General features: G+C 47.4%; 1 protein-coding gene and 2 long non-coding RNA genes across 4 annotated transcripts in view, besides 10 other annotated features; 1 reads left to right on the top strand and 2 right to left on the bottom strand.

The window, feature by feature from the left end:
* The window catches only part of FOXN3 (forkhead box N3), a 462,989-nt gene that overhangs the window by 182,632 nt on the left and 252,668 nt on the right, over positions 1-27,689 (top strand). The window contains exons 1-2 of one of the 2 annotated variants that reach the window (NM_005197.4): positions 19,301-19,663; positions 24,044-24,600. In NM_005197.4, coding sequence (NP_005188.2) covers positions 24,058-24,600 — 543 coding nt within the window. In that variant the 5' untranslated portion in view covers positions 19,301-19,663; positions 24,044-24,057. Of the gene's footprint in view, positions 1-19,300; positions 19,664-24,043; positions 24,601-27,689 lie in introns of those variants that run through there. The other variant, NM_001085471.2, reaches the window with a different exon arrangement.
* Positions 3,868-4,421: an enhancer, noted in NCBI's record as "NANOG-H3K27ac hESC enhancer chr14:89898457-89899010 (GRCh37/hg19 assembly coordinates)". NCBI's record gives its function as "activates a minimal SCP1, AML or CMV promoter by ChIP-STARR-seq in naive and primed H9 embryonic stem cells {active_cell/tissue: H9 hESC(naive and primed)}" and the evidence as "EXISTENCE:reporter gene assay evidence [ECO:0000049][PMID:30033119]".
* LOC107984635 (uncharacterized) lies at positions 5,462-8,180 on the bottom strand. Its single transcript, XR_001751025.2, has 2 exons — positions 8,114-8,180; positions 5,462-7,196 (listed from the first exon to the last, which is right to left on the bottom strand). It is a non-coding gene; the product is annotated as an uncharacterized LOC107984635 (long non-coding RNA).
* Positions 6,831-8,030: an enhancer, noted in NCBI's record as "MED14-independent group 3 enhancer chr14:89894848-89896047 (GRCh37/hg19 assembly coordinates)". NCBI's record gives its function as "activates an origin of replication core promoter dependent on BRD2, BRD4, P300/CBP and CDK7 cofactors, and independent of MED14, by STARR-seq in HCT116 cells {active_cell/tissue: HCT116}" and the evidence as "EXISTENCE:reporter gene assay evidence [ECO:0000049][PMID:35650434]".
* Positions 11,092-11,706: an enhancer, noted in NCBI's record as "H3K27ac-H3K4me1 hESC enhancer chr14:89891172-89891786 (GRCh37/hg19 assembly coordinates)". NCBI's record gives its function as "activates a minimal SCP1, AML or CMV promoter by ChIP-STARR-seq in primed H9 embryonic stem cells {active_cell/tissue: H9 hESC(primed)}" and the evidence as "EXISTENCE:reporter gene assay evidence [ECO:0000049][PMID:30033119]".
* Positions 16,741-19,180, bottom strand: FOXN3-AS1 (FOXN3 antisense RNA 1). Its single transcript, NR_036500.1, has 2 exons — positions 18,738-19,180; positions 16,741-17,374 (listed from the first exon to the last, which is right to left on the bottom strand). It is a non-coding gene; the product is annotated as an FOXN3 antisense RNA 1 (long non-coding RNA).
* Positions 18,920-19,209: a silencer, noted in NCBI's record as "silent region_6000". NCBI's record gives its function as "represses an Ori minimal core promoter by ATAC-STARR-seq in GM12878 lymphoblastoid cells {active_cell/tissue: GM12878}" and the evidence as "EXISTENCE:reporter gene assay evidence [ECO:0000049][PMID:35858748]".
* Positions 18,920-19,606: a biological region, named in NCBI's record as "H3K27ac hESC enhancer GRCh37_chr14:89883272-89883804".
* Positions 19,074-19,606: an enhancer, noted in NCBI's record as "H3K27ac hESC enhancer chr14:89883272-89883804 (GRCh37/hg19 assembly coordinates)". NCBI's record gives its function as "activates a minimal SCP1, AML or CMV promoter by ChIP-STARR-seq in naive H9 embryonic stem cells {active_cell/tissue: H9 hESC(naive)}" and the evidence as "EXISTENCE:reporter gene assay evidence [ECO:0000049][PMID:30033119]".
* Positions 19,155-19,449: an enhancer, noted in NCBI's record as "tiled region #4157; HepG2 Activating DNase unmatched - State 1:Tss, and K562 Activating DNase matched - State 4:PromP". NCBI's record gives its function as "activates a minimal TATA promoter and a strong SV40 promoter by Sharpr-MPRA in HepG2 and K562 cells {active_cell/tissue: HepG2 | K562}" and the evidence as "EXISTENCE:reporter gene assay evidence [ECO:0000049][PMID:27701403]".
* Positions 19,250-19,459: a silencer, noted in NCBI's record as "silent region_5999". NCBI's record gives its function as "represses an Ori minimal core promoter by ATAC-STARR-seq in GM12878 lymphoblastoid cells {active_cell/tissue: GM12878}" and the evidence as "EXISTENCE:reporter gene assay evidence [ECO:0000049][PMID:35858748]".
* Positions 19,607-20,140: an enhancer, noted in NCBI's record as "H3K27ac hESC enhancer chr14:89882738-89883271 (GRCh37/hg19 assembly coordinates)". NCBI's record gives its function as "activates a minimal SCP1, AML or CMV promoter by ChIP-STARR-seq in naive H9 embryonic stem cells {active_cell/tissue: H9 hESC(naive)}" and the evidence as "EXISTENCE:reporter gene assay evidence [ECO:0000049][PMID:30033119]".
* Positions 20,155-20,449: an enhancer, noted in NCBI's record as "tiled region #4092; HepG2 Activating DNase unmatched - State 1:Tss, and K562 Activating DNase matched - State 4:PromP". NCBI's record gives its function as "activates a minimal TATA promoter and a strong SV40 promoter by Sharpr-MPRA in HepG2 and K562 cells {active_cell/tissue: HepG2 | K562}" and the evidence as "EXISTENCE:reporter gene assay evidence [ECO:0000049][PMID:27701403]".

Here is a 27,689-nt window from a genome sequence, read left to right as displayed (position 1 = left end):
CAGTCCCACCCAGACCACAAGGGTGGAAACTTGGGGGACTCTGGGAAAGGGAGAGAAGAAAAATAGATACTGGAGAGGAAACCACAAATGTGCACCCTAACATGTGACCCTACGTCACTTTGTTTTCTAGGTCACAGTTGCTTCATTAAATTAGGGGCTGGCATGACACCATGACCAAAAGTCTTCCTAAGGCTAACCTTGTAGATTTTATTTTCTTTATAAATTAACTTTTTTTTTTTTTTTTAATGAATAAACAAACCTTTTCTGGCCAGGGCTATAAAACCAAGAATGTAATTAGTAAATAAATAGCTCTGTTTAGATTATAATGATAAGTCAGGGCAGTCAGCATTGGTAACTTTCTTCCTACCCATGAGTTGTAGATTTTGATCTACAGGCCGGGCGCGGTGGCACACTCCTGTGATCTCAGCATTTTGGGAGGCCGAGGCAGGAGGATCGCTTGAGCCCAGGAGTTCGAGACCAGCCTGGGCAACATAGCAAGACCCTATCTCTGAAAAAAAAAATAATAAAGAAAAATGAGTGATGAAGGATGTGAGGGAGGAGCCCTAGGAAATGGAGTACGTAAAACCTGCTGTGCCTTTAGTCAGTGTTATCTTCTGAACAGCCAAGGCAACTTGGTTGTTCATTCAGAGGAGATCCAGGAAGGTCTGGGCAGGGCTTGTTTGCATGACTGTAGCCATTGGGAGGCTTTGCTGTAAGGCTGGTGTCACAGGAAATCTGTGAGAGGTTTAATTTGGATTCAAAGGGAGCTGGTGTTGGCAGAAGCCAGAGTCACTCTAAATGGCAGTGGAATCAGATCCCTGTGGATAGCTGAGGGTTTCTCAAGAATGAAACCACAGACCTCAGCTTTCTACTTCATCCCCTTTTTACGGAGCTGTTGGCTGGTCTCGAGATGAGATTCTAGTAGTGGCACCAGGGGAGCTTTCAAGGAAGCATCTGGGGTGGTTTGTGAGGGAACGAATGCTTTGGCTGTCGTACCACAGTCTATCTGGGAGCGCCATGGACGTGGAGATGACGTGGGTGTGGAAGATGGCAGTGAGTTAAGGGAGTATGCTTCTTCTCTGTCTCTCATGTATACAGCTTGGGTGAAGGCTCTGAGGGCCTGTGGGGGTATTGGGCTGCCATTTTTTTTTTTTTTTTTTAAGAGACAGGGTCTTGCTGTGTCACCCAGGCTGGAGTGCAGTGGCACAATCATAGCTCAGTGAAGGCTTGACCTCGCAGGCCCTAGTGATCCTCCTGCTTCAGCCTCATGAGTAGCAGGTGTGCACCGCCCAGCTAATTACAAAAATTTTTTCTGTAGAGATGAGGTCTTGCAGTGTTGCCCAGGCTGGCTTCTAACTCCTGGGTTCAAGCAATCCTCCCCTCCGCAGCCTCCCAAAGTATTGGGATTGTAGTCATAAGCCACTGTGTCTGGCCCCAGGCTGCCTTAGTAAGAGAGTTTTACCCTCTTGTCTAGGATATATGGGGGAAAGTTAATCTGATTAGCAGTACAGTGTATTCAAATTGTGCTTGGCTAATTGTTGAACGTTTATACAGAATTGACTAAGGTTGATCTGTACCTGTAACTATAATAATTCTCTGTAATACAGCTTTTGGAAAGTAGTTCTGGTGTGAGGGTCAGTGGTGTTTCTAAACTGGCAGACAATAACTACCGGAGTGCAAAGAACAAGATACATAGTTTGAAAATGGTTTCTTGTCAAATGTCTGTGCTTTGGAAGCATTACCTTCAAGAGAATCCATCAGATTTTTGTCCTTGTGGTAGTAGGACATTCAAAGAAGGTTTATTTGGTGGTTTGGGAGCAGGCAATAGGGTGAGGATTGGAGAAAAAGGAGATTATTCTGTGAGTTGAAAATGGGTACCTCTACAGCTGCTTGTTCTTCCCAAGGGTTCAGATGGGAGATGGAGATGGACTTGGAGTTCCAGGCCTGTGCTCTGGAGTGATCATGAGCTTCTTAAAAAACCTTTGTGTTTTAAGATTCTGATAAGGCCAGGCACGGTGGCTCACATCTGTAATCCCAGCACTTTGAGAGTCCGAGGCAGGTGGATCACCTGAGGTCACAAGTTCAAGACCAGCTTGACCAGCACAGTGAAACACTGTCTTTACTAAAAATACAAAAAAATTAGCCGGGTGTGGTGGCAGGCACCTGTAATCCCAGCTACTCTGGAGGCTGAGGCAGGAGAATCACTTGAATCCGGGAGGTGGAGGTTGCAGTGAGCTGAGTGAGATCACACCATTGCACTGCAGCCTGGGTAACAAGAGCAAAACTCCATCTTAAAAAAAAAAAAAAAAAAAGGCTTGCGCAGTGACTCACGTCTGTAATCCCAGCACTTTGGGACAGTGAGGTGGGGCTATCATCTGAGGTCAGGAGTTCAAGACCAGGTTGACTCCTGGTGAAACCTCGTCTCTACTAAAAATACCTAAAATTAGCCGGGCGTAGTGGCAGGCACCTGTAATACCAGCTACTCTGGAGGCTGAGACAGGAGAATTGCTTGAATCTGGGAGGCGAGGTTGCAGTGAGCCAAGATGGGGCCATTGCACTCCAGCCTGGGCGACAAGAGTGAAACTCCATCTCAAAAAAAAAAAAAAAAAAATTCTGATAAAAGCACAGTACTGGTGTGTGACCATTGCCCTGGATATTTCAGTATTTTTAGACGTTTGTCCATTTAATGAATATGTCTGTTTCTTTTCTTTTTTTTTTTTTGGAGACAGAGTTTCGCTCTTTCACCCAGGCTGGAGTGAAGTGGCGTGATCTCAGCTCACTGCAACCTCCGCCACCTTGCCTCCTGGATTCAAGCGATTCTACTGCCTCAGCCTCCTGAATAGCTGGGATTACAGGCGCCTGCCACCACGCCTGGCTAATTTTTTGTATTTTTAGTAGAGACAGAGTTTCATCGTGTTGGCCAGGCTGGTCACGAACTCCTGACCTCGTGATCTGCCTGCCTTAACCTCCTGAAGTGCTCGGATTATAGGCGTGAGCCACCGCACCCAGCCTAATTTTTGTATTATGTATTTATTTGTTTGTTTGTTTGTTTGAGATGGAGTCTCGCTTAGTCGCCCAGGCTGGAGTGCAGTGGCACGATCTCGGCTAACTGCAACCTCAGCCTCCTGAGTTCAAGCGATTCTTCTGCCTCAGTCTACCGAGTAGCTGGGACTACAAGCCCGCACCACCACGCCCAACTAATTTTTGTATTTTTAGTAGAGATGGGGTTTCACCAGATTGGCCAGGTTGGTCTTGAACTCCTGACGTTGTGATCTGCCCACCTTGGCCTCCCAAAGTGCTGGGATTACAGGTGTGAGCCACCGTGCCCAGCAATTTTTGTATTTTTAGTAGAGACAGGGTTTCGCCATGTTGGCCAGGCTGGTCTCAAACTCCTGACCTCAGGTGACTCACCCCGCCTCGGCCTCCCAAAGGATTACAGGTGTGAGCCACTGTGCCCAGCCAAATGTGTCTGTTTCTATGTGAGCATTTGTAGGTAATGGTGAGGGTAGAAAGGGTGACTATGATTAGTAGCCCTTGAAAAATGCTATGCAGGCCAGGTGCTCGTTGGCTCACGCCTGTAATCCCAGGAGTTTGGGAGGTCAAGGCAGGAGAATCGCTTGAGCCCAGGAGTTTGAGACCGACCTGGGCAATATAGTGAGACCCCTCTGCCCCATCTCTAAATAAAGAAAAAGAAAATGAAGAATGCTATGCAAAACTCAAACCAAACCAATGCCACAAAACAAAACAAAAACTCCCTCCCAAAAACCCCAAAACTGTGAAGAAGAAGCCTAAGAGGTAGAGATGACCAGCAGAAAGTTACATTCTGTGATCTTGGAAATGAGATCTTGGAGAATAGCAATAGACAGGTGAGAGCAGTGGTCAAGGCGGTGGGGCTGTGCAGGCCAGAGGGACATGGGGATCTTTAAGTTTGCATTTCACTTCTGGCAAATGAGTGAGCTTCTTGAAGCCTTGGTGTCCTCATCTGTAAATGAGGATGACAGCACCTATCCTGTAAGGGTGGTGGAAAGATGGAATAAATAATGCAGGTAAAGCTCTTGGCACGGTGCCTGGCCTGCAGGAAGCTTTTGTTGTTATGCATGTTTTATAATCCTTTGGATCGCAGTCATTGGGTACTTGGTGTTCATTGTTTTGACTCCTGTTGTTCAAGCGCCTTGAATGTCCTCAAGGCAAAATTGACATCACCTTTGGTCCTTCCTAGGAAAATTAGGAGCAGGGTGGTGTTAGGGCCGTCACTGGACATTCCAGGTCTCCCACCCATAAATGGAGAGGTGGAGTCTGCCTGCAAGACACATTGCTAGGAAAAGATGGGACATTTGGCTTAGTTTCAAACCAATATTTCCTTTATACCCTTCCACAGAGAGGTGACAGGGATCCAGTTAGTGGCGAGTTGTGGAGCAGCAGAGACTGCAATGCGATGTTCTTTATGATTTTCCTATTTCTTTGGTTGGAATTGGGTTTTTACATCACATATTGTTTGATTATAAAAAAGCAACAACACAGCCGGGCGTGGTGGCTCACGCCTGTAATCCCAGCACTTTGGGAGGCCGAGGCAGGCGGATCACCTGAGGTCAGGAGTTTGAGACCAGCCTGACCAACATGGTGAAACCCCGTCTGTACTAAAAATACAAAAATTAGCTGGACGTGGTGGCGGGCGCCTGTAATCCAAGCTACTCGGGAGGCTGAGGCAGGAGAATTGCTTGAACCCAGGAGGTGGAGGTTGCAGTGAGCCAAGATTGTGCCATTGCACTCCAGCCTGGGCAACAGGAGTGAAATTCTTTCTCAAAACAACAACCACAGCACTATGCTTGTGTTGGGGCAGTGGATAATGAGAAATCTCTGTACCTCCCACTCAAGTTTGCTGTGAACCTTAAACTGCTCTAAAAAAATAAAACATATCGAAACAAAATAAAAAAACAAAAACAAACAGCTGCAAGAACTCTTGCACAGAGGGTCAAAAGAATGGCTTTTGACTAGCTACAGAAACATGGATAAAAAACATGCTGGCCAGGCGCAGTGGCCCATGCCTGTAATCCCAGCACTTTGGGAGGCCGAGGCGGGTGGATCACCTGAGGTCAGGAGTTCAAGACCGGCCTGGCCAACATGGTGAAACCCTGTCTCTACCAAAAATACAAAAATTAGCCGGGTGTGGTGGTGGGCGCCTGTCATCCCAGTTACTTGGGAGGCTAAGGCAGGAGAATCACTTGAACCCGGTTCAAGTGAAGCTGAAGAAGTTGCAGTGAGCTGAAATCACAACACTGCACTCCATCCAGCCTGGGAGAGAGAGAGAGACTCTGTCTCAAAGAAACAAGCAAACAAAAAAAAATGTGCTAAACACGTAGAGACCAACCACATTGCTGTCAGTAGGTAGTGAAGCACTTTCCTATAAATATTTCAGGACTCTTCTTTCTCTACTTAAAAAAGAAAGATTGCTTTGCATTTCAGACAACGGAAATGACTGGACAAGCCTTTAGGTCATGTGCAAGAAACTGAGAAAACCATTTTCCTTAAATGGAGATGGAGTTTGGCACAGTCTGAGGTTCAAGTTAGAGCCTGGGTCTTAATTTGCCTGCAACGCATGATTTATCATGCCTTTAGCAAGATCCCCGGCCCAAGACCATTCATTTCACCCCTACAATCTCAAGGTGTGTGCAGGGCACAATTCAGCTTTAAACTTTTCTGCTTTTACTTTTGGTTAGGCAGAACCTCCGTCTGGTGGTATTTGAATATGAGTGTTTTCTGTGGCCCTTTTCAAAGTATTCAAAGTGGTTTAAAAATACATAATGTTCAGAGATCTAAGAGCTAACGGAAGTACTTATTTGGGCCTTTTAAAAATAAAAAAATCAATTAAACAGATTTGAGACTCTTAACTCTCGCGATGTCTTCAAAATAGATACTAAGATTAAAGAAAAAAGAAGGCTTGAAAATCATAGGACTACTTATCCACCCAGTCATAATGCTTTTAGTAGTGACAGTAGTAGCAAATAGCACAGTTTATAAAAACAGAAGAGCTAAAATTCTTTATTTAATATTAAACAGGAAACCGAAAGTAGTCTGCAGCAATGTGGTGGGTTTTCAGCAACCTGCTGCTGTGTTTATCTGTGCTGAAAAAGCCTAAATGAAACATTTCTTCTTTGATTGCCTTAAGATTGTAAGTTTGAAGGAAAATCCTTCAAACTGGAATCATGACCACTGGAAGCAGGTTCTGTATGGTAAGGTTTTGAAGCAACCTGTTTCCACCAGAACCAAAGGAAATTTGGAAGCAAATCAAAAACCTCTCAAAGAGTGGAAAAAGCTTTGTACTTTTATTTTGCCTTTGTGCATTGTTGTCATTTATCCAACATGTGCATATGAATATTCTTTCTGAAGACCTGGGCTTCATTTTAAGGTCAGCCTTCAATTTCTAGAGAATATAATTTGCTGCTATTTTTAGAGCATCATGATTGCTTGTAATAACTAATGGAAAAAAACTCAGAGAAATAAATGTGTAACAGCTGTGTCTGCTTAAACTTGATTAAAGGCAGTAAAAAAAAGTAAACAGAAGAACGAATGTGACAATAGACAAGGGGGAGACAAGTATCTCTCTCATTGTGAAAACTTTTACAGGCATAACTTGTTCCACTTTGGAAGGCCAGCGATGTCTGTGTTTAAAGTTTACTTTACTGTTTGTCTTGAGTGGGATCAGTGTTGTAGTGAATAATTTATAGCCAGCATGAATGAGCTCATTAGTCACCTTTTCAGACTTTAAATGAGTTTTGTGGTTGTCATTACTCGAGCCTTCTGTTCAGCCGCGGAGCAAAATGACAGTTTGGCAGTTGTTGCTGGGGCCGCCTGTTCCCCTTCAGGTCTGTGTTGGCTTTTGTATTTCGTTGAATCCTTCCCTGGCTAACCCTTCGCTGGTCCAGGCAGCAACTCTCCCACTTCACATGCCTTTTGCACCCCAAGTTTAAATGAGAAGTTTTTCAGGCTTCAAAAAAAAAAAAATCAGTTGTGTCTGCCAGAGAGAATGGGGGAATGAGGTGGATGAAATGAGCTTTTTCCAGCAACTCCTGGGTATGATTCCCTTTGTGCTTGGTTTGATATTCAAGCTACTCAAAAGCAAAAAGCAAGCCAGTGCGTTGAGAGGCAGCGGAGCCAGGCTCCCACATGGTGCCAGGCGTTTTAGACCGAGGATGTCACTGGAATTTGGAGGGAGAAGGATGTTTCAGGGTAGGTTTGAACTGTTTCAATTCTGAGTATCAGTGTGATGAGGGTAAAGAAACTTGCTACAGCAAATAAATCTGCGAGGCCAGATTTCCACGGACAAAGAAAACTGCATTTTTTCTACAAAGGGGTTGACAGCATGACTTTTCAAGGTCGCAGCCAACACGGAGGTCCAGGATCACTGGGAATGGTCATTACCTCTTCCCCATCTCTGTGCCTCCCAACTCCAAATCATTAAGAGAAAGCGAACTGTTGCAGCTGCCTCCTCACTGAGCCCTTGGAGACATGCCTGGGAGGCTGGTATGTGGGGAAGACAAGCCTAGGCATGCCAGTAGCAGGTGGGATTTCTTTGGAACGGATGTCATGAAGTTCATCCCTCCCATTGAACCTGGCCTGGGCAGCCTCCGGAGAGCTCTGCCATTCACTCCCTGGGACTGGCCTCCATCCAGAAGTCCAGGACACCGTGGCATGCCCACCTTGGTCCTCAGGTAGCCTCTGCAGGCACTCGTGGGGCGTGGAGGCCTGCGCAGGGTGCCTTGGCCAGGTGCTTGGACCCCTGCGCTGAGGTCTCTCTGACGTCTGCTGCGAGCAACAGGCACTCATGGCTGCCGTCACCAACGTGGGCAGCACCCCCTCCGGGACCCATATTGTTAGACAGCTGGCCTGGCGCTGTGTGAGGCATAGAGGAAACATGTTCAGGATTCCTCTCTGGAAGCAATGCCAACTTAAAAAGGACGCCTGGTTGTTTGGGGGCCAAATCTTTGAAACCAGTCAGAATCACGTCTTTGAGTGCAGAGAAGTGAGGTGCTGTTGAACATACCCACAGAAAGAGCTAGCAATTCACCTGCTTGCTTCCTTTCCAGCCCCGACCCTTTTAAGATTGAGTACTCACATGCAGTCACGTCTCACAATTTCTGGACACCTTTTGCCTGCACCTCAACCTCAATATTAAAGGCACAAGATACACTATTTTGGGAAGGAGTGAGGATTTCAAAACAGAAAGGGTTGGTGAACTTGACTAGCCAATGAAAAGAGACTTCAGGTTTGGCTGTTGTAATAAATGGAATAAATTGCTAATCTCCAAAAAAGAACTTTGTGCTGCAGGGAAATATGTTAGTAATCATTTAATCTATATTCTGTTTCTCAGAGAGTTCATCAAATTCAGAGCTCTTACTTTGTTTTAAAAAGACTCTCGTAGAGAGAAGAATCAATTGTTTTCTTTCACACCCCTCTGAAAAAGTAAAACGAGAGAAGTTATTTCTTGGCGTGGATAAGACTTTGGCAGACTTAGCCACCGAAACCCATGAGACTATGGTACTTGGTGTACTCACTAAAGAGAGGAAAACAATAAAATCTCTTAAAAACTTTGGAGGAGGAAAATGTTGATGAGGCTACTTTTCTCTGACTGATCTGTAGAGTTAATAGATGCCAGCTTGAGAGAGGGATAAAAAGGAGACTTTTTTTTTTTCCTGTTAAGTGATCAATATTTTTTATTACCACTGTGCCATGTGCTATGAGCAGAAGAGAAAACAGAGTCCCTTGCCCCTCAAGGCACTTACACTCTGTTGGTGACGTTCAGTATCTAGTTGATTTATTTTTTTATTACAAAGATACACCATACTTTGTTGATTATGACATAGAAGTTGAACTTTGAGTTTTTGCAAGTAGTGCCTTTTCATTCAGTTAAAAAGTCCTGGCCGGGCACGGTGGCTCACTCCTGTAATCCCAGCACTTTGGAAGGCCGAGGCAGGTGGATCACGAGGTCTAGGAGCTGGAGACCAGCCTGGCCAAGATGGTGAAACCCCATCTCTACTAAGAATACAAAAAAAAAAAAAAAAAATCAGCCGGGCGCAGTGGTGGAGGCCTGTAATCCCACCTACTTGGGATGCTGAGGCAGGAGAATCGCTTGAACCCAGGAGGCGGAGGTTGCAGTGAGCCAAGATCGCACCACTGCACTCTAGTCTGGGCAACAGAGCAAGACTCCATCTCAAAAAAAAAAAAAAAAAAAAAAGTCCCCTTTTCCTTCCTCCTCTTGTGCTTTTTTTCTTCTTTTTCTTTTTCTTCTCTTTTCTTTTTTTTTTTTTGAGACAGAGGCTCACTCTGTCGACCAGGCTGGAGTGCAGTGGCACGATATCAGCTCACTGCAACCTCCACCTCCCTGGTTCGAGCATTTCTCCTGCCTCAGCCTCCCAAGTAACTGGGAGTACAGAAACCCACCACTGCGCCCGGCTAATTTTTGTATTTTTAGTAACAGAGTTTCACCATGTTGGCCAGGCTGGTCTCGAACTCCTGACCTCAAGTGATCCACCCGCCTCGGTTTCTCAAAGTGCTGGGATTCCAGGCGTGAGCCACCGCGCCCGGCCCTCCTCTTCTATTTCTCGGTCACAATTTTGTCTCCCTTGTACCCCACGGGTCCTGTCCTTCATGTCCTAGGCCCCTGAGAGGTTCTCTAAGAAGCCAGGTGTTCTGAAGCTTTCCCAAACTCACTGTGTGGGTTCAATTCCCAGCCCCATCATTTACCGGCTGTGTGTTATGAGCAAGTGGCCAAACCTCTCTGTGCCTCAGAATCTCAGTTGATAAAATGGGGATAATAATAGTACCTACTTCACATGATTAATGTGAGGCTGAAATGAGTGAATATTTTCGGAGCTTTAGAACACTGTCTGGCATCCAGTTAAGTGCTATTTCGGTGTTTGTTAAATGCAGTCAGTCCTCATCATTGGTAGTTTTTGTATTTGCGAATTCACCCTCTTGCTAAAATTTACCTGTAATCTCAAAATCAGTACTCCTGCCCGGGCATGGTGGCTCAGGCCTTCCCAGCACTTTGGGAGGCCGAGGCGGGTGGGTCACCTGAGGTCAGGAGTTCTAGACCAGCCTGGCCAACATGGTGAAACCCTGTCTCTACTAAAAATACAAAAAATTAGCTGGGCGTGATGGTGGGCGCCTGTAATCCCAGCTACTCAGGAGGCTGAGGCAGGGATAATCACTTGAACCTGGGAGGCAGAGATTGCAATGAGCTGAGGTCATGCCACTGCGCTCCACCCTGGGTGACAAGAGCAAGACCCTGTCTCAAAAAAAAAAAAAAAAAAAAAAAAAATCAGTACTCCTGGTGCTTTTGTGGTCACTCATGGACACGTACAAATGAGTCATTCAGTGTGCACGTTCCCAGCTGAGGGTGAACAAAGTGATGTTCTGCCCGCTTGTTTTGGCTTTCCAAGTGTCCTTTTTGTGGTCTGTTTAGTACCACATTTTTTGCATTTTTGTTCATTTTGCTGTTTGAAACGGAGCCCAAGCACTGCTGAAATGCTATCTAGTGTTTCTAAGTACAGGAAGGCTGTGGTATGCCTTATGGATAAAATGTGTATTAGATAAGCGTCATTCTGGCACAGTTCGTTGTGAATGAACAACAATATATATTCAAAAAGCTTCTTAAATGGAAACACAGATAAAATAAATATCAACAAAATTATGATGTGATAATATATCAGTAAAATTAAGTTTTCATTGGTTGATGAAAGGGTTGTGAGTGGAGGCTCACAGGAACCTAACCCCATATTTCCCCTAGGAGCAATGATTCAGGATTTGTTAATTCAGTGTTTGTGACACTTTATAGAACACAACTACTATGAATAAAAATAATCAGCTATAGGCTGGGCGCGGTGGCTCATGCCTATAATCCCAGCACTTTGGGAGGCCAAGGTGGGTAGAACACCTGAGGTCAGGAGTTCGAGACCAGCGTGGCCAACATGCTCAACCCCGTGTCTATTAAAAAAAAAAATTAGCCGGGCATGGTGGCACAAGCCTGTAATCCCAGCTACTCAGGTGGCTGAGGCAGGAGAATCACTTGAACCCAGGAGGCAGAGGTCGCGGTGAGCCGAGATTGAGCCATTGCACTCCAGCCTGGGCAACAGAGCAGGACTCTGTCTCAAAAACAAAACAAAACAGGCCAGGCGCAGTGGCTCATGCCTGTAATCCCAGCACTTTGGGAGGCCAAGGTGGGTGGATCACGAGGTCAGGAGTTCAAGACCAGCCTGGCCAACATGGTGAAACCCCGTCTCTACTGAAAATACAAACAATAGCTGGGTATGATGGCATGTGCCTGTAATCCCAGCTACTTGGGAGGCTGAGGTGGGAGAATTGCTTGAACCAGGACCCGGGAGGCAGAGGTAGCAGTGGGCCAAGATCGTGCCACTGCATTCCAGCCTGGGCTGCAGAGTGACACTCTGTCTCAAAAAAAAAAAAAAAAAAAAGAAAAGAAAACAAAACAAAACACAACAAAAAAAAGTCAGCTGTACATAAAATGAGTTCAAGAACTGAGAGAGGTGATCTCCTCTTGTATCAGATAAGCATCACGAATATCCCTGGGGCAGGAGAAGCATTAGTAGCTCTGGTCATGTGGGGTAACTCAGCTGGGCACAGATTTTCTATCAGATCTGAAAAATAAAAATAACTTGTAACCACATTTAGTGGCATGATCACGGCTTACTGTAGCTTCAACCTCCAGGGCTCAAGTGAACCTCCTACCTTAGCCTCCTGAGTAGCTGGGACTATAGGCACGTGCCACCATGCCTGGCTAATTTTTCTATTTTTTTTTTTTTTGTAGAGTCATAGATCTCCCTATGTTGTCAGGCTGGTCTTGAACTTCTAGGCTCAAGCAATCCCCAGCCTCGACCTCCCAAAATGTTAAGATTATAGGTGTGAGCCACCGCACCTGCCTTCCCCCACAAATTCTTAATTCAAGAGTATTTTGAACTCTTGAATCTTGGAACCTGCGTAAGAGTTTGTAGAGAAAGTTTGATATTCAAAACCTATAAACCAAAAGACTTCCCACGGCCAGACAATAGACCTCATAACACAGGATATAATGTTTGTTGTACTTAGCAATTCTCCTGTTTGCTCAGAGCACCAGGCTTTTCAGAAGGGGATCGTTTTGTCCCTCCTGATTGAAAAGATCACAGAATGCTTTAATTTTGTGAAGCGCTTTGCCAACATATTCATTTTCCCCTAAACTCTTACTTTATGAAATCTTTGCAAATTGTTTCACACGTACAGTCTCTGAGAATGTGAAAATGATTCAGAAAAGGGAAAGCCTCACTTAAAACTACTGGAAAATGCAAATGAAAGGGAACAAAGGGAACATGGCCCCACTGTGCCCCACAGAATGTAATAATATGCCTCTGGCCTCTTATTTCAGCAATTTCCAAGTTTTTGTGATTTTAAACAACGTCCCAGCAAAATCCTCCTAAATACATTGTTGCTTCCTTCAGTTAATTTATTCAATACATATTTATTGAGTGTCTTCTGCCAGGCATAAATGCCAGGTGTGCACTGCTGAATCTAATAGGCTGGAGTCCTGCTTTCCTGGGGTTTATTGCCTCTTCCCAGTAGTCAGTCTGGTGGGGAAGTTAACTCTCTTATAGGATCTCCCAAGGATAAATTCCTAGAAGTTGGAAATTTAGGATCAGTGGCTGTCCGTGCTCACTGAAATTTTAATTTGTTTTGCGACTGTCCTCTTGAAAAGTTATACCACTTCCCACCAGTGCCTTCAACCAACATTGGCATGGTTAGTTCTTTTAAGTCTCTGCCATTCTGATAGATGAAATGAGATATCACAATTGCTTTAATTTGCATTTCTTTGATTTTTACAGTTTTGAGCGTCTTTTCATGGGGATAGTCTCATTTTTGTTTCTCTTTTTGTGAATTTGCCCCTTTTCTTATTAGAGTGATAATTTTTTTCTCATTGAGTTGTAAGATTTATAAATTTAAAATATTAACCCTGTTTTCATCTGCATGTCCAATATTTCATTTGTTTTTAAATTTTATTTATGACCCCTGATTTTACACACAATTCTAAATTGGTATGCAGTCTAATATGTCAAGATTTTCATTTTGATTTGTTGGCTTAATAAAAATAGTGTTCACTAAGTGCCAGAGCCCTGTTTTATGTTCCTTACAAAGATTAATTTATTTAATCTTCACAACAGTCCTATGAAGTGAAAACTAGGTAGATAGAAAGAAGTTAAGAACCTTGACTGAGGTTAACCTGCTAGTAAGTGGTAAGATCAGAGTACGAACCTAGTCTGTGTCTAACCACTGCGCCTCCCCACTACTGGTCTTGGTATTAGACTCTGTGTGTGTGTTTGCTTATTTGTGGTTGCTTTATAAATGCTCATAGACCTACTCCTCCCTGAGGGCAGGTGCCGTGTCTTCTGTTTCTCCTGGCCTCTTCCCAGTCCCCTCCACTCTTCACTGGGTATAGAGGAGCTAGATGCTTACTTGTTGACGGAATTAATTGAGTAAATCTGGATTCTAGATCATCGGCTCACACTTGTGTTTATGCTCAAAGAGGAGTTGACAGGTTCTATATTTCCATTTTGCCTCCAGCAGCCGGCTTGACAAGCTCAGGTTTGGCGAGGGCACCTGAGCTGATGAACTTCACCCTACCAGTTCAGCTGTACTTTCCCTTACTACACACCCTGCTTCCCTCTTAAAGTAAGCCTGGCTGCATTCCCTGCTGGAGAAATTCTAATAAGCCCTTTCCCAGGCTCCACCCTTCAGAATCTGTCAAGTAAACAGCAAGAAGGCACAAAAGGAAAATCCCAAGAGACGGTGACCAGAAAGTTCAAATGATGTTTGACCAAGACTTTACACACACCAAGATGTTAAGGGTCTTCCAGCCGAGGGGCGCCGTCTCTTTTCCACAGCGGGAAAGTGAGGAGTTTTTTTACTCTTACAAACAGCGTTCTCAGACCTTATCTCAAAGAGACTCTTAGTCAACCCATGATTAAGGAGTTATCTTTGAACATAATCTCCCCCTCTCTTCTCATATTCAATCATTTGACAAATCCTCTTGGTTCTTCCTTTGAAGACTGTCTTGCGTTCATTTGTTCCAGTCTCACTGACTCTTCTGATTCACTTGGTCTTGAAGTGGGTCCACAGACCAGCAGCCTCACCTGGGAGCTTGTGAGAGATTCACATCCTCAAGCCCAGCCCACACCTCCCCAACCAGAAACTCTGGGGGTGGGCCCTGCAGTTTGTGTTTTAACAAGCCCTTCAGGTAATTCCTATGCATACACGAGTTTGAGAACCACTGCTCCAGTGGACGCCCCCTCAACCCCCTTATAACATTATAAATGTAATGGGCCAGGTGCGGTGGCTTATGCCTGTAATCCCAGCACTTTGGGAGGCCGAAGCCGGAAGATTGCTTGAGACCAGGAGTTTGAGACCAGCCTGGGCAAAATAGCGAGACCCCATCTCTACAGAAAAATTAGCCTGGCATGGTGGCATGCGCCTGTAGTCCTGGCTACTTGGAGGCTGAGGAAGGAGGATTGTTTGAGTCTAGGAGTTCGAGGCTGCAGTGAGTTACGATTGCACCACTGTGCTCCAGCCTGGATGACAGAGCCAGACTCTGTCAAATAAATTAATGTATATATGTATGTATATATGTAATGGGTGTTTATTGTAGACCATTTGAAAAATAGCGGGGCCCAGCACGGTGGCTCGCGCCTGTAATCCCAGCACTTTGGGAGGCTGAGGCGGGCAGATCACCTGAGGTTGGCAGCTCGAGACCAGCCTGACCAACGTGGAGAAACCCCGTCTCTACTAAAAAAATACAAAAATTAGCCGTGCGTGGTGGTGCATGCCTGTAATCCCACCTACTCGGGAGGCTGAGGCAGGAGAATTGCTTGAACCCCAGAGGCAGAGGCTGCAGTGAGCCAAGATGGCGCCACTGCACTCCAGCCTGGCCAACAAGAGCAAAACTCCATCTCAAAAAAAAAAAAAAATTTCCCTGGGTGGAAACACCATAAACCAATTGCCCACACGGACAATTGCACGATTTCACATGAATTCTCAGCAATATGTTTGGCCTGGTGCAGTGGCTCATGCCTGTAGTCCCAGCACTTTGGGAGGCTGAGGCAGGCGGATCACCTGAGGTCAGGAGTTCAAGACCAGCCTGACCAACATGGAGAAACCCCGTCTCTATAAAAATACAAAATTAGCCAGGTGTGGTGGTGCATGCCTATAATCCCAGCTACTCGGGAGGCTGGGGCAGGAGAATCACTTGAACCTGGGAGGTGGAGGTTGCAGTGAGCCGAGATTGTGCCATTGCACTCCAGCCTGGGCAACAAGAGCAAAACTCTTGTCTCAAAAAAAAAAAAAAAAAAAAGAAAGAAAGAAAATATGGACAAGTATGAAAGAAGCACACAAAAAAGAAGTATCCCATAACTCTAACATTCAGAAGGAACCACTATTTTAGCCTTTTTTCCCCAATTTTTTTTTTTCTTAAACAGTCTTCATTCTGTTTTGTATGAATTACTGCAATGATTTCTGAGTTGTTCTGCTGGTTTTTGATCTTCCAGTTTCTCTCTTCCTCTCCCGAAATTCATCTTGGATCCACCATCCCCATTTATCTTTTTTTTTTTTTTTAATTCGTATCTCTGATAATACAACTTCTGGGCTCAAAAATATTCAGTGAGCCACCTTTGCCCTCTGACCTTAACACATATAAATTGCTCACCCTGCTATTCAAGGAGTTTGGTGATATGATGCTTGCACTCTTACCCACTAATCTGTGTGCTCTTTAGGGACAAAGACCGTCTATCTCTGGCAGCTAACACAATGCCATGCACTTGGTAGGCACTCAGCAAATATTTGTTCAGTGAATGAGTTCCTCTTCTACTACAATCAAGTCAGATTTGGTAATTCTGTGCCATCGATTTCTCTTGGAACAGCAGTTTGTAAGCAAAATCATCCCCTTGTGCTTTCTCAAAATACACATATCCAGGCACCATCCTAGAAGACTCTAGTTGGTTAGGTGTGGCTTCTGGATGGTTCTGATGGGCATCCCCAGGTGAGAAGCTCAGGTCAAGAACACCCCTTCCCCATTTCCACAGGTTAAACAGCAACCCACCCTTATTAGATATCCCACTTCCAAAGTCATCTCCCCTCCCTTCCCCAGATGTTTCACCATGTCCCTTGTCTCAGCTGTTAGCAGTAGGGAGTGGTGGGGGGCCATGCGCGTAGGGGAGTCATGTGACTCAGGCTAGGCCAATCGCACTATTTCCCTGAGAAGTTAAACTATGTCATGGAAGGCTTGAGGCAGTTCAAAGGTGGTGGGTGCTAAAAGTCAGAAGGCCTCAGGGCTTGCTGCTGGCAGCCCTGTGTGGTTATCATTGAGCAGAGGAAGCCAACCTGCAGGGTAGAGAGTGGAGTCACCTATAGAGGGAAGCACGAAAGGAATATGGTTCTGTGCAGGCCAGCGGTGTGTGCCTGCCCAGCCTCCCCGTATTTCCTCTCATATATCCTTTGTACTGGAGTCTCTTTGCAGGATCCCTCCCCAGAAGACTGTCTTTCCAGGCCTGCCTCGGACTCTTCCTATTTTGGGCAGTCTCTCAGGTCTTCCCGACTGCACCTGCTCACCTACTCAGTTGTACTGCCTCAAGGGGGGCAAGGTATATCGGGTTTTATACTTAACTATTCCATAAATAGCCATGCTGCTCTAATAACCAATACAGTGTGTGTGTAGGGGGATTAAAGTTCTTGACCAGAGAAACATTTAGCAAAAGAATGCACAAAACATCAAGGGAGGGGCGCTCTTCTCCTTGGAGGAGGAACTGAGGTCCCACGCTGATGGGGGCAGATAAGCCTGGAATTGAGGACTTCCAGCTCCCAGATACTTATGTACTCTCCAGCCCATGCTCAGATGGGGCTGCAGAATGGTCCCATCAAGTCCTCTATCAGGAAATAAGTGTTTCTCAAAGTGATTTCTAGGGCACATATACAATTCGGCTGTTAAATGTGTTTGTAAAACAGTGTAGACAAGACATTAGACAATGCAGCTTGCTTATTTGTGACTTCTCAGGACCTAAGACGCAAGGGTCCTTTCTGAAAGTTCATGGGGAATTGTGAATGGGGTTGTTCCCAAACAAATTTGGCCCCTGCACCCTAGGTCAGGAAGCAAGTCCCAGAGCTGAGGTTCTATGGAATTAGAAGGTGGAAAAGGCCACATTAAGCCCTCCTTTGGCTTTCAGCATTTTTTCCCCCATTTCAGATAGACCGACAGGCAGACATGTGTCCCCTGCTGTCCACATCAGGCAGGGCTGGTCCACCACTTCCTCTTCAGGGTGACACCTTCTCACATCTCTTGCTGCAACTGTAATGGGAGAGAGAAATTAAGAAATATGTTTGAGAATGCAAGAAGCAAAAACACACATGGAATGACATATTCCATGTACAATCACCTTTGGCTCACATCCCCTCTTTTTGAACTCTGAGAAAGCAGGAGGGGACTGGGGCCGGTGAAAATAAGGTGCCACCTCTACTTAATATAAAGAGATTTCTGGCTATTGTGTGAGTGTAGCTGGGGGACTTGGGGGTGGGGTTGGGGGCTGGGGATGGAAGAGGAAGATGTAAGGGGGCGACTTCGTCCTCTCTAGGCCAGCAAGGGCTTGGACAAAGGTCTCTGGCCTTGGTTCCTCTGGCGGAGAATAAGCACCCTCAACTGACGCGCTGATGGAGGGGCAGGACCTGCATTAGCCGGAGCTACAGGAAAGCAGGGTACACATTGTCTCATCCTGGCTTTGTTACCACTTCTAACCCTGAGAATCTCTGGCGTGAGACTTCAAAGATCATCTGACTTGTCTCTGCCACCTTGTGCCTTTTGCTTAGTGACTTTGGGTAGGTCGCATCAAGTGCTCAGTAATCAAAGGGGTGGGGCTGGATGACCTCAGGCTACCCCTGGGCTTCCACCTCCTAATTGTCTCCAGATGGGGAGATGCCACACAACTTGGAAGTAGTAAGGTCTCCGGTGAGTCTGAAAGGCACATCTTTGCTGAAGACTTGTCACCTGCCCTCTTGAACCTTTGTTAGGGGGAATGACTCTCAGATTGGGGGGGGGGGGTCTATTTTTTGAGACAGAAAAAATTTTCAGAAGCCTAACTGGTGTTTCCCTTAGTCCCTCCTTTTGGCTAGGTTTAAAAGTACTGCATGCTAGAAAGCTTTCTCCAGGTCTACTCGCTGTTTTTTTCTGTAGTTTTCAGACCGCTCACGATGTCCTGTCCACTGGCTCAGGAGGGGGTGGCAGGAAGGGTGCCCTGGGCTTCTCCTCTGTAGAGGAACCAACCAATTTGGCTACCTGGGAGTAATGTGCAATCACATTTTTATTTTTGTCACCACCAGGGTGTCCTGTTGGACTCTCTCCTCTCATCCTCTCCCAAGGCGGCTGGTTGGTGTGGCTTTAGCAGTGGGTGCTATTATTTGGAGGTGCCTAGAGACTTAGAGTGGTGGCTGCACCATTTCGCTGGGTGGCTTGCGAATTGTCAGTCTGGTTCCTGAGAGCTCAAACTGAGATGGAAATGAGACCTGTTTTCTCTCTAGGCCGGCCGGGGCGTTCCGCACAACCCACTTGAGAGGCCCCACCGGCGTGGCCTTTAGGACGGTGCCTCTTGTCTTGTAATGGCCACCGGCCCTCCCTCGGGAGACACGCGGCCACCTGGGTGGGACGCTGCGGTGCTTACCTCCGGGACACGAGGTGGTCGCTGGGAGAGGGCTCGGAAGGCCCTGGGGGTCCTATCAGGACGCAGCACTGGGGAGACGTGGAATCTCCTCTTCTCACCCCCACAAGCCTCGCCCGCATCGTAATTCTTTTTATTTTTACTTTCGAGCCATGTAAGGCATGCAGATGGGGTAGGAGCGTTCCCGCGACACGTTGCCAGCAGCGCAGCGCCGGCCCGCTCGTGTGGCCGGAGCCCGGGGAGGGGACAGGGCACGCGCCGCCTGACCCACCTGCCCCACCGCCCACGGTCGCGGCCGCCCTGGGTCGCGGGACCCGCGCCGGTCACCCCCGCCCCGCGGGGCCCAAGAGGCGAGGCCGCGCGGCCCAGCCCCGGCCTCCGCCCTGGCTGAGTGCTGGGGCGCGCGAGGGGCGCGGGCAGGGTCCGCCCCGGCGGGTCAGTGCCCCGCGCCCCAGGCCGCTGGCGGCCAGGCCCACGTTTTCCCTTTCTCCGGCTCCCTCCGCCCTCCGCTCTGTCCCTCCCTCCGCCCTCCTCCCTCCCCGCGCTTCCCCTCCTCCTGCCTGGTCATGTGTCGCCTTTTTTTGTTTGCAGTGGAAACAATTTCTCGCCGCTCGGCGCGCCCCGGCCCGACGCGCCGCGGCGGAGGCGAGCGGGAGGCGGGACGGGGCGGGGAGAGCGGCGGGGCCGGCGGGAGGACGCGCGGCGCGCCCGGCGGACGCCGCAGGTCCCATGCCGCGCCGCGACCCCCGCGCCCCTGCCGCCCGCGCCCGCGGCCGCCCCCCGCCGCCCGCCGCCCCGGGCTCGCCGCGCCGCGCCCGCGCGTCCTTAGCGGGGCCACCGAGCGATGCCCGCCGGGCGCCCGCGAAAGTTTGTCGGCTCCTGCTGAAGGGCAGCGGCGCCCCCGCACCCCCGTGCCCCGCTCCGGCCAGGTGAGTTTGCACCCCGCTCCTGCCGGCTCCCGCGTGGGCTCGGGGGGCACCCGGGGCGGGAGGCGCGTCCGAGACGGTCCTGGAGACTACCTCGCCGCTCTGGGAAGACGAGGGACCCCGCAGGTCCTGGGGGGAGGGTCGGGTGTGGACCCCGGGAGCCCCCGAGCCGGGAAGTTGCCGGGTCCGAAGAGTTTCCTGCCCCGACGTGCGTGCTGCTTCCCGGTGCCTCGGTTTCCGAAAAGACGCCCGCAAGGAACAGAGTTGGTATTGTCTGCGGAGGACGGGGTCCCCGCCGTTCCGGGCCGGGGAGGGGGTTCCGATCAAGTGGAGACCCCAAGATGAGAAACAGGCTCCTAACAAAGATCACCCCCCGGCCAAACTGTGCAGACTTGGCACAGGCAACGAACGTCTCCGGAGACCCCCGAGGCCCGACCCCCCTCATCCCGGCCCTGTTTGAAACCCTCCTTGGGCCCTGGATAAGTTGGGGGACGGCGGGCTTTTATTGATTTGTTTTCGAGGCTCGCCGCGGTGCGGCCAATAAAAGGTTTATGACATCTGACCGGCAGTGAAGGTATGCGAGCTCCCAATTGCCCTGTATATGGGGATAAGAGCAGTTTCCCCCGTTGCCCGGCAACGCCGCTGATTGACGCGGGGTGCAGCCAATCGCCACTCCCGCAGGTCCCCTTGAAATGTTTTTGACAAGTACAGTAGACGAGAGTGAAGCGCGTGCGTGCGCGCGCGCGCGTGCTGGGTGGGCGGGGGTGACCCGGCCCCCCAAACTCGCTACTGCTCGGCTCTGGGAAGATTTCTTAACTTTTTAAAGTTCGCATCGAACATCTGTTCAGAGCTGGGCCAGTAATGTCTTTGTCAGTTATTTGGAGACCTTCTGTTTACTAGGCGAGAAACTAAGCTTTCTTGCCGCATTTTCTCCGTTAAAAAATAAAGAGGGTAACAAAACACAGCAAGTCATAAAAAAAACAAAAGAGGGTGTGTGTGTGTGTGTGTGTGTGTGTGTGTGTGTGTAGAGAAAAGTTGTAAGGAGGTCACCAGTGAATAACTATTTGCGTATCTGGTGGAGCAGCCTTGTTGGCAGCAGATTAAAAATGTTTGCTTAACTGCAACTCACATGATCCAGATTCTTTTTTTTTCCCTCTGAAACAGGAGGAAAAAAAGATTTGGCGAAATCTGTAGTTAGAGTATAATAATGGAAAACTCCTCAGCTGTGGTTTCTGGGAACTGTTTTTTTTTTTTTTTTTTTTTTTTTTTGGTTATTGTTGTTTTGTTTTGTTTTTACATGGAACTGTAGTGATCAGCAGCTCTTCACCCTGTTGGTATAAAATGCGGGATTTATAGGGATGCAGTGAGTGGTTGGAGAGTACGGGGTCCCAGCACAAAACGCACACATGATCCAAGGGTACTGAACTCCCATAACCCTCTCTTCGTGACAATGCCACTTTTTCTCCTAAAACCATATTGCTGGCAGTGTTTGTTTAAAACAAAAGGAAACATGGAGAATAGCGTGTTAGTTCCTCTGGGAAGCTACTGACAAATAAGCAAATTAAAAAGAAAGAGAGCAGCATGTTGTCATAGCAACAGTGCAATTAAATTACTTTACTGTCAGCCATGATATAATTTTCCTGTTTGGAAGCTCAGGAGACATAAAACTTTCATTTAGAGCTAAAGTTGACTTCAGTGGCTGGGTAGTTCTGTTTTATACTCTACTGTGGGCATATGCTGGTCATCAGAAAATTTTCTGATGGGATCTGAGGAAACTTTAAGAAAGACAAGTGGTGCTATAATTCGTTCATAAAGAAGTTAAAAGCAGGATCAGACCAGACTCTGTTGTATCCCCAAGCCAAAAGATGCTAGCTTGTTTTTTGTCTGAAATGTGTCAGGGTAACCTCCTTATTTGACAGAAAGAAATATTCCCTGTGAGTGAACCCAAGACGTCTGGAGCATCCTGCCTGGTCTGTACTGCAATGCCTCATGAAGTTTTCTCTCCTTAAGAGTTGGGCATCTTGGCCAGGCGCGGTGGCTCACGCCTGTAATCCCAGCACTTTGGGAGGCCGAGGCGGGTGGATCACGAGATCAAGAGATTGAGACCATCCTGGCCAACATGGTGAAACCCCGTCTTACTAAAAATACAAAAATTAACCAGTCATGGTGGCACACGCCTGTAGTCCCAGCTACTTGGGAGGCTGAGGCAGGAGAATCTCTTGAACCTGGGAGGCAGGGGTTGCAGTGAGCGGATTTTGCACCACTGCACTCCAGCCTGGGCAACAGAGTGAGACTCTGTCTCAAAAAAAAAAAAAAAAAAAACCGGTTGGGCCTCTCACCACAGCTCCCCCTTAGGCCTTGCGTCTAGCAGGTTCTACCTTTTGGAAGAGGGAAGGTACTATAATTCACAGGCACCCTTGGCTGGTAGGTTAGTGCCCAGGATTATGCCTTCTAGAATTCCCTAATAGAGCTTCCACAGCTGAAGTGGCAGTTGTTTTAGATGTGGTGTTAATGAACATTTAAGAGACATAGAAGGGTCATGTCTTTGCCTTTTTAATTTTATTTATTTATTTTTTTGAGACAGGGTCTCCCTCTGTTGCCCAGGCTGGAGTGCAGTGAGCCTCAACCTCCTGGGCTCAAGTGATCCTCCCACCTCAGCCTCCCAAGTAGCTGGGACTACAGGCACACACCACCACACCTAGCGAATTTTTGTATTTTTTTGGTGGAGATGGCGTTTTACCATGTTGGCCAGGCTGGTCTTGAACTTCTGAGCTCAAGGGATCCTCCTGCCTCAGACTCCCAAAGTGATGGGATTATAAGCATGAGCTACCATGCCTGGCCTATGTCTTTGCTTTTAAATATGTTCATTCATCCCTCCTCCTTCTTCTCCTCCTCCTCCTCCTCCTCCATCCCTCCTCCTCCTCCCCCTTCTCCTCCCCCTCCCGCTTCTTCCTCCTTCCTCCCCTTGCCCTGCCCTGCCCTGCCCTTCCCTGCCCTTCCCTTCTCTTGCCCTCCCTTCCCCTCCTCTCCTCTCCCCTCCCTTCCCTTCCTTTTCCCTTCTCTTTCCCTTCCTTTCTTCTTTCCCTTCCCTTCTTTTTTTCCTTCTTCTTTCCCTTCTTCCTTCCCTTCCCTTCTCCCTTCCCTTCCCCCTTCTCTTCCGTTCCCTTCCCCCTTCTCTTCCGTTCCCTTCCCCCTTCTCTTCCATTCCCTTCCCTTCTTCCTTACCTTCTTCAAAACTTTTGAGACAGCATCTCACTCTGTTGCTCAGGCTGGAGTGCAGTGGTACAGTCATGGCTCACTGCAGCCTCAGCTTCTTGGGTTCAAGCAGTCCTCCCACTCAGCCTCCCAAGTAGCTGGGACTACAGGCACATGCCACCATGCCCGGCTAATTTTTGTATTTTTCATAGAGATGGGGTTTCGCCATGTTGCCCAGGCTGGTCTCAAACCCCTGGGCTCAAGTGATCCTCCTGCCTCAGCCTCCCAAAGTGGTGAGATTATAGGCGTGAGCCACCATGCCCAGCCTGTTCATTTGTTTTCTAGGTAGATGCTTGATTTTCTTACTGTTCGTTTGTGGGGGGAATTAAAACCTAACAGTTTTAAACCAAGCATATTGTTTTAGCGCTACGGAGAGTGGGAGACCTTTTTGGTTATCTTTACTGTTCTTTCTGTGTTACGTTGGGTGCTGGAGGGTTGAACATGCTTTGTGTCTGTAGGGGTCATTCTGTTTGTAAACGTACCACCTCCTCGTTTTCTTTTCTCATCAGATGTTATTTTACTCCGTGTTCTAGGTCATTGATAAAAATGGGGATGGTGGTGGGTCGGGGTGGAGGGATAGAATTCTATGGCATGTTTTGTTGAATTGAATTGAATTTGCTGTCTTGAAACTGGCAGTTGCTCTCCTGACTTTTTTCACCAGCTCTAATTTCAGTTAATGGCTTATCTTACATTCCCATGTATTCTGTGTGGTACCTGAAGTTACTTGCTTTTCTTCTGTTCTGGAAGAAAAAATAATTCACAGTAAAATTTAACGTACTTTAAAACTGGTCTCCTGGTCTCAAGCAATCGTCCCGCCTCAGCCTCCCAAAGTGCTGGGATTACAGGCGTGAGCCACCGTGCCTGGCCGGTGTTACTGGTCTTATTTTATTTAAGGGGCATCAGGTCACCTTGCTATATGAATGGCGGGCTGATTTTTCTCATCAGCCTATCTCTCTGTGGTGGAATTGTGGGATTGTGTTGCTTAGTGTGGGAGTCACAAGGTGGTGTTCCTGTGTAGCAGGGGTTCCATAGAGGCGGCAGAGGGAGGCAACAGGATCAGAGGGGTACAGTCTGCCTTTCTGTTTTGGGCCTCGCCAGCTCATCATTTCTTTGTGATGTCTTTACTAGGAGCCTTCACGTAAATGGGTCCAGTCATGCCTCCCAGTAAGAAGCCAGAAAGCTCAGGAATTAGTGTCTCCAGTGGACTGAGTCAGTGTTACGGGGGCAGCGGTTTCTCCAAGGCCCTTCAGGAAGACGATGACCTCGACTTTTCTCTGCCTGACATCCGATTAGAAGAGGGGGCCATGGAAGATGAAGAGCTGACCAACCTGAACTGGCTGCACGAGAGCAAGAACTTGCTGAAGAGCTTTGGGGAGTCGGTCCTCAGGAGTGTCAGCCCCGTCCAGGACCTGGACGATGACACCCCCCCATCCCCTGCCCACTCTGACATGCCCTACGATGCCAGGCAGAACCCCAACTGCAAACCCCCCTACTCCTTCAGCTGCCTCATATTTATGGCCATCGAGGACTCTCCAACCAAGCGCCTGCCAGTGAAGGATATCTACAACTGGATCTTGGAACATTTTCCGTATTTTGCAAATGCACCTACTGGGTGGAAAAACTCAGTGAGACACAATTTATCATTGAATAAGTGTTTTAAGAAAGTGGACAAAGAGAGGAGTCAGGTAAGCCTCTGTGTCTGGAACCCAAGGTTTTCTTTTTTTTTTTTTAATTTAAAATTTTTCTCTATTAAAAATGAATTTCTATTCACCACATTGAAGTAGCAGTTGTAAGTGGGTTTTAGTCTATTTAATTCATTTAGATAATTTTAAAGAATTTCCTTTCCCTAAGCCTATTAGTTATGTACTGTTTATTAGCATTTGTACTATTTGAGAGTTTCCCACTGATAGGGTTTCCATAAAGATAAAACAGTGGTTTACAGAATTGATTAGTTCTCAGTTAACATCCCTCAGTGTGGATGGGTCACTTTGGTTTTAGGGTCTTAACAAAGGTCAGTATTCCAAGGACAGCCATTAACCGTGAAGTATGTGTGTGTATATACACTGCCACCATGGGCTAGAGAAAAATGGTGTTTCTTTTTTTCCCTGAATATGAACTAGGAGAAGGGAAATTTCTCCAGTGTTCTGGCATAAGTGGACAGTGATGAACATTGAGAAGAGACTTGAGTATACTTACGCTCGCAGACTAAACAGACATGAGTTGCCCAGGTGACTGTCATGAAATCTGGTGTCTGTATAAGTGACAACTTTGAAATTCCCGGCTCAGAGTGAGGGTCCCATTAGAGACTGACTTTTAAAAAGTTTAATATTGACTTTAAAGCAGAGGTCCCCAATGTTTTTGGCACTAGGGACCCATTTTGTGGAGAGCCAAGGGGGATGGTTTTGGTATGAAACTGTTCTACTTCAGATCATCAGTCATTAGATTCTCATAAGAAGCACGCAACCTAGATCCGTTGCATACACAGTTCACAGTAGGGTTTGTGCTCCTATGAGAATCTAATGCCACCGCTGATCTGACAGGAGGTGGAGCTCAGGTGGCAATGCTGACCTCCTGCTGTGCAGCCCCGTTCCTAACAGACCACTGATTGGTACATGGCCCCAGGTTGGGGACCCCTGCTTTAAAGCCATAGTTTGTACTTCATGGTCAGTGAAAAGAAGACGGTTTTAATAATTTGCTTTCTTTTTCTTTCTTTTTTCTTTTTTCTTTTTTTTCCTCTTTTTTTTTGGGACCAGGGTCTTGCTCTGTCACCCAGGCTGGAGTGCAATGGTGTGATCACTGCCCACTGCAGCTTTGACCTCCTGGGCTTGAGTGATCCTCGCATCTCAGCCTTCGAACAAGCTGGGAGCACAGGTGTGTGCCACTACACCCTGCTAATTTTTATACTTTTTGTAGAGATGGTGTCTCACCATGCTGCCCAGGCTGGTCTCAAACTTCAGGGCTCAAGTGATTCAGCCACCTCGGCCTCCCAAAGTGCTGGGATTACAGGCATGAGCCACCACGCCTGGCCTATTTTTGTTTTAAGGAACATAATAGGTTTCGTAGAAATTGGGCAGCTGTTAAGAAGTGGAAAACAAAATTGTGATCTGACTTTGAGCCCTGAAAAGTAATGCAGCCGCGGTTAAGATAAATTGCCAGAGAAAGTTCCTTCCACTAAGTTTTCATGTGACTGTGTTTTCCCGCTTTGTGTGTTGTGTTAATAATGCTGCTGTGTGCAGCTGGGGTGCTGGTTCTCCCTCTTTTTGAAGTTCAGGTTCGGGCGCAGGACCACTGTTGTGTGGGATCAGTGGCTGTGCGGGGCTGGGGCCTTCAATTTCTTTCTCTCTGGCAACATGTCACCATTTCAAGTAGAATCTTGAGCCTGAGAATATTCTCCTTGTCTTTGGCATGGGAGAGTATGAATCAGGAAGTGGCCAACCGTATTGCTCCTTGCTCAAATTGGACGTGTTTGTGTGCAAATGCTCTTCACTCGGTTTCTGTTTGAGATGGGGGGTGGGGACGCGGGGCTTGGGGAGGGGTGTTGCCTGGGAGGAAAGATGTGGGCACTAAGGAGAGATTTACTTTGATCACTGGTGCAAATGATGCCTGGGTCGAGCGTGCAGATCTGAATATTCATAAGTTTCTGGTTCCCTCCTCCCCAGGTCCTTATTTTTGTGTAGCTGTAACCATCAAAGTATGCCCCTTTAATCAGGGAGAGGAATTTCCTTGACCATGAAGCTCTTTCTCCTTCCCTCCGTATCTCAGGTTGGGCATTTGGAGAGCCACCTCTGGACTTGGCTTTTTTTGAGTGCTTTAAGATTATTCTTTGAGCTTAGAGGACATTCATTGCTCCTCTGTAAAGAACCAGGTCTGTGGTATTTAAAGCTTCTGTATAGGTGGGTCTTTGTGGCAAGAAAGGGAAAGTCTTCAAAAGCAATTCCAGACTGAGAACGTGGAGAAGAAAGTGCTGCTCAGGTCCCCCAAAGCCTCACAGCAGTGATAAAGCAACAAACAGGGCGTTTAGTTTGGTGTAAAACGAGTCTGCAAGTTCCTGCATGCTTGAATCTTCGTGTTTGACATAATGCCGGTGCACATAGAAGTAATTTAGCAAATGCACACTCTGAAATGTTAGAAAAGACCAACGCCAAGGCGTGCAGCGAGACTTGGGAACATTATTCATCAGTCAGCCTTGGGAGTGACAAGTGGGTGTTGGATGCCCTGTGTTGAGGCACACTGGGAGGAGCTGTTCTCCCGCCATGCGACCCCCCCGTCCCCCACCGCTGGATTCTGGGAGTCATGTTTTCCAGGGATGAAGATTGTCAATCCGGATACATTCAGGTATCACCTGTTGAAAGAGAATGGTTTTAAAGACTTGAGATTGTTAATGTTATGAAACATTCAGTTCTGGCTTCCCAGCCATCCTGACCTGTGTTGACATGTTTCTGATCAAATGCCAGTCAGTTTTGTGGTTGGGAGTTTGTTCCCAGCATTTGCGATTCTGTGAGAACAAAGCAAGAGGTGTGAGTTTTTCCACTTTTCTCCTCTTTCTTGGGTTCCCCCAGGCCAGCTGCTGGCTGCTGTGAGAGGTGCAGGCTCCCAGGTATGCTCAGGTACACCCAGGTCCTTCCAGGGCATTGACCTGGCCCAGTCACTTGGGGTATGCTACTATGGCATTCTCCCTGATACTCTGCCCAGTGAAAGCTCCTTTAGCTCTATGGGTAAACTTGTTTTTTCCTATGAGATTTTATTTGGCGGGAGCTCCCACACTGAAGTTGCC

This window comes from Homo sapiens, chromosome 14, assembly GCF_000001405.40.
Source record: "Homo sapiens chromosome 14, GRCh38.p14 Primary Assembly".
NCBI classification, from domain to species: Eukaryota; Metazoa; Chordata; class Mammalia; order Primates; family Hominidae; genus Homo; species Homo sapiens.
This window is presented reverse-complemented; position numbering and strand designations above follow the sequence as displayed.